Raw genomic sequence first — 4,776 nt, 5'->3', positions numbered from 1 at the left:
AGGGTTCTGGAGAAAGCCACGTCTACTCCATTCAAGAGACTATTTATTGTTTAATTACTCACCACTCAAAAAAACAGCTTCTGATGTGATAAGGGGTCAAGAGAGATCAAGCACCTGAAAGTGGGACATCAAGTGATTATATGATAGGAGTTTCCTATTACATACTGGACATTGTCAGATCTAACAAGTTGGTAAGGTTTGATGAAAATGGTATATTCAGGACCAGGTCTGAGCAAGTCCAGAGGGTATAGGGTGGCCCAGGGCTCCATGTCACCTACCTCTGCTGTCCTGACACGTCTCTCAGCTCACATCTATAAATATGGGGGCAGGAGTGAAGGAACTCTATGATTCACTGATGAAGGAGGAACAACACAGCTCATTCCTGGTTCATGGCTGGATTGGTTCAGATAATCAATGCTGCCTGAGAGTGGACAGCTGTCAAAACTACCACTTTGGTGGCCCTAAAGGACAGTGATGAAGGGAAACTCTCCTAGAGGGTAGAGCTGTGAGCAGTGTGCTTGTTTGTCCACTTTGCATGCCCGGAGAAGTGGTATGAGATAAGGATATACATGGACTTCCATGTAGTGGCAAATAACTTGGCTAGTCTTGGTCTGGGGTTTAGAAGGGGCAAGTTTAGATGATCAGAGACAAAGTGGTGTGGGAAGAAGCATGTAGATGAACTGTTGGAAGTGGCCGCAAAATGTGCAGATCTTTGTATCTCACATCAATGCCACTAGAGAAGATTCGGCACAGATGGGACACTCACTAACCAGGTAGATGGGAGGAACCGGCTGGTAGATGTCAGTCATCCTCTGTCCCCAGCCACCCCAGTGCTTGTACAATAAATGGAGAGTGGCCATAGTGGCAGGGAAGGCCATTATTCAAGGCCTCATCCATCATCCAGCATGGACTCTTTTTCACCAAGACAATTGGTAAATTTATTATTTATTTATTTATTACCAAATAAATAAATGTATTAGATCAGACCACTTCCACCTAGAGGGGGCAGAGTTCATCTTTACCAGAATTTACCTCTATTCTGAATGTGAGTTTGCTTTTCCTTCTCTGCTGCAGTGCCTCTGAGAACACCACTATCCACAGATGTGCAGGGCACCTGACGTACTGACATGAAATCCTGCAGACATCACCACTGTTAGTGGAACCTGTTTCACTGTGAGGGAGGCATCAGAGTGAGTGCAGGACCACAGGATCTACCATCCTACCACATACCACACCCCTGAAAGAGGCTCCCTGACAGATCTCTTTTAAAGGCTTAGCTAAGCTACCTAAGGGACGACACCCTATAGGGTGGAGGTACTTCCTCTATGATGCAAGGTGGGTATTGAACTGACCATTGCATGAAACTACGTCCCCAATGGCTAGAATACATGAGTCTGTGAACCAAAGGGTAGAATTAGGATTAACTCCTCTCACCATCACTCTGAGTGACCCACTTTGGGAATTTGAACTTCTCTTCCCTCCAATTACTGGCTCTGAGATTAGAAGTCTTGTCCTCCTAGAAAAGAAGTGTTTTCACTAGAGAATATAGCAGTGGTTCCACTAAACCTAAAGCTGTGCAGGCCATCAGGTCACTTTGGGCTAATGTTCATCAACCAGCAGGCAGAGAAGGGGGTAATGGAGGCAGGAGTGGGTATATGCATAACAGGGTATTCCTTGGTGCCTCTCTTGGTTTTTCAAGCTCAGCAATAGTGGAGTGGTTGCACAGCCAGGGGCTAGCAATGGAAGCACACAAAAGGGCTTGAACTGCTCACCAAGTTACTGGGTTACTTCACCTGGTAAACAACCTAAATCACATAGGCGCCACTAAGAGTAGGAGAAATCTAAAATGGGTAATGGGGAAGGGAGATGAGGAATTAATTACAGCTGGCTTAATCAGAACTGCCTGCATCCGCTGGTACTTTAGCATGGGACATGTACTTCATGTTGCCCAGGCTGGCCTCGAACTCCTGGGCTCAAGCGATCCTCTCACCTCAGCCTCTGGAGTAGCTGGGACTATAGGCACATGCCACCATATTCAGCAGGACATATACTTTTAAAAGTGTGGGATCTGCTGTCACCTTGAGGATGTACTAACTGGGTTGACTTCATGTAGGGCATGGGTAGATCTGAGCAGGGCAAAGTAGACTGCAGGAGATGTTCGGGATGCCCCACACCATGTCATGCCCTTTGCCACTGTTGATTTCAGCCATAGCTGCAGTGGGTAGTTCCATGCAAACTCACGCTCGAGCCAGTTTTGCTGCAGGGCCTTCTCAGAAGACTTCTCAGCCCATTTGGCCCAGGATCAACACAGCCCAGAAGTGCAGGGGCATTACCACGCCAGGGGCAATCCTCCAGCAGTGGGAGATACAAGCCTATGGATGAAGGTTCCCACCTCCCATCACTCAGATGAGAAACACCAAGAGGCTTCTTGTACCTTTCTCAGAGGCCACAGCAGGATCAATCCCCCATTGCACACAGCAGCCATCTCAATAATGCACCATTCTATTAGTGTCTCTCCTTCCCTGTCTCACCCTCCCTGCTCTCTCACTCCTGCCTCCAGGATTTTCCTCCCACTTAAAGTAACTGCTCCCAAGTCCTGCCCCATGTTCTACTTTCAGGAGTTCCCAAACTAAGGCAATAGCTGCACCTGCAAAGAAAGCGACTACTTGTTAATATGTGATATAATCCAGAAAAGCAAGAGTCCACCCAAAGTCAGAAGAGAAGAATTCAGAAGAGTAAGGTGGGTGTGGGCATATGATACGTATGAGGGGGCATTTGATAACTTCAACCTACCAAGTGCAGTTCATTCAGTAAGCCAGTAATATAGGGTTTTAGAGCTGACAATGTGAGGTATAATATACAAAAGCTTAGAAAGGCATAGGGAGACATCTATCTTTTTCCTTTGCTTTGAGGGCATGTGCTTGCATCAGCTCTGTGTGTGTGTGTGTGTGTGTGTGTGTGTGTATACACACACATACACTAGACTATAAAAAGAAATCACGACATCCATACGGAGGAACCTGGGTATTTGAATCCCAGAAACTTTCTCAAGGCCTCACTAGGGAAAGATAGTTCAGTTACAAGCCAAAGACTCAAGAGGAAAAAGCCCCTGGAGTGAATAAATAGTCTGATAAACCTAGACATATGTGGTAACTGCAGAAATAAGTCCTTTTTCATTTATAGAGGGAGAGAAGTTGCATATATTAATCATGTCTGCTCTTGCCCCCACTTTCAGGAACCACTTATATGCCTTATGAAACATCAATGTTCCATGAAACACAGTTTGAAAACCTGAGCTAACCTCTCACCTTTCTTCTAGAGCGTCTCCACTTGGTCATCTCTAACAGACCGGACCCCGCCACTTTGCTAGGATATCCCAGAGGAGACCAGAGCAGAATTCCCTGTGAAGATATTGCAAATGCTGCACCACTTTGACACAGACGAATATTGCCTTAATGCTTTCTCATTGCAGCTCCATTCTCATTCCTCTTGTTCTAATCTCACTGGGAACAGTAAGAAGCTGCCATCATTTTATGTTATACTTTTACATACTTTAAGGTTATTACTGATTAATGAGAATTAAAGGAAGCTGAGAATATATAAAGCATTTCTTATTTGCAGTTTTTCACTCCATTTGATATACAGACTGTGTATATCAAATAGATTTACAAACTGTGCTACAATATTTTTTTCTCTTATTGGTAGGGGCTGAATCAGACTCCCCTCCCCCTGCAAGAAAGAGATGTTGAAATCTTAACTCTTGGTACCTCAGAACTGACTTCATTAGGAAACAGGATTGTTGCAAATGTATACTTAAGATGAGGCCATACTGGCGTAGGGTGGGCCCTGGTCTAACATGACTGATGTCCTTACAGAAAGACAGCCACGGGCCGGGCACGGTGGCTCATGGCTGTAATCCCAACAATTTGGGAGGCTGAGGCGGGTAAATCACAAGGTCAGGAGTTTGAGACCAGCCTGGCCAAGATGGTGAAACCCAGTCTCTACTAAAAATACAAAAAACAAAATTAGTTAGGCACGGTGGCAGGCATCTGTAATCCCAGCTACTTGGGAGGCTGAGGCAGGAGAATCACCTGAACCTTGGAGGCAGAGGTTGCAGCTAGCTGAGATCACGCCACTGCACTCCAGCCAGGGTGACAGAGCAAGACTCTGTCTCAAAAACAAAAAACAAACAAACAACAACAACAAAAAAAAAACAAGAAAAGAAAAGAATGAAAGACAGCCCCATAAAAACAGAGACACATAGAGGGAGAATGCCATGTGACAACAGAGGCAGAGACTGAGGTTATGCAGCTGCAAGCCAAGAAATGCCAAACCACCAGAAGCTAGCAGAGGCATGCAATCCCCTACAGATTTCAGAGGGAGCATGGCCATGCCAACACCTTGATTTGGACTTCCAGCCTCCAGAACTGTGAGAAATTAAATTTCTGTTGTTTTAAGCCACCCAATTTGAAGTACTTTCATTATGGCAACCCTAAGAAACTAATATATTTATCTAAACTATTTCTCTTTGATCAAGTACCTAAGATGTATTGATCAGGATAAAAGTGTGTCTCCATTTTTCACCCATTTTCTCTCTTTTTGAGGGACTTTGACAGTTTCTGAATTAAGAGGCTATTTTTAGGAATAGTAATGTATGTATCAATTTTGGATGTATTTAATTAAAATTTGTAAATGAGCAGCACTGCTTTCAAAAAAGATCTGTCCTACATCTGTCTGCGATTCAAAGAGGTACTGAACTGACACTCACTACCCCTG

At 44.6% G+C, this 4,776-nt stretch overlaps 1 long non-coding RNA gene across 1 annotated transcript; it reads left to right on the top strand.

Annotated features, from left to right (window-relative positions):
* Window positions 1-2,015: 2,015 nt before the first annotated feature.
* On the top strand, window positions 2,016-3,600 carry LOC124901252 (uncharacterized). Its single transcript, XR_007059426.1, has 2 exons — window positions 2,016-2,740; window positions 3,320-3,600. It is a non-coding gene; the product is annotated as an uncharacterized LOC124901252 (long non-coding RNA).
* The last annotated feature ends 1,176 nt before the right edge of the window (window positions 3,601-4,776 follow it).

Source organism: Homo sapiens, chromosome 6, assembly GCF_000001405.40.
Source record: "Homo sapiens chromosome 6, GRCh38.p14 Primary Assembly".
Classification (NCBI taxonomy): domain Eukaryota; kingdom Metazoa; phylum Chordata; class Mammalia; order Primates; family Hominidae; genus Homo; species Homo sapiens.
Note: the sequence above shows the minus strand (reverse complement) of the source record. Positions and strands in the feature narration are given on the sequence as shown.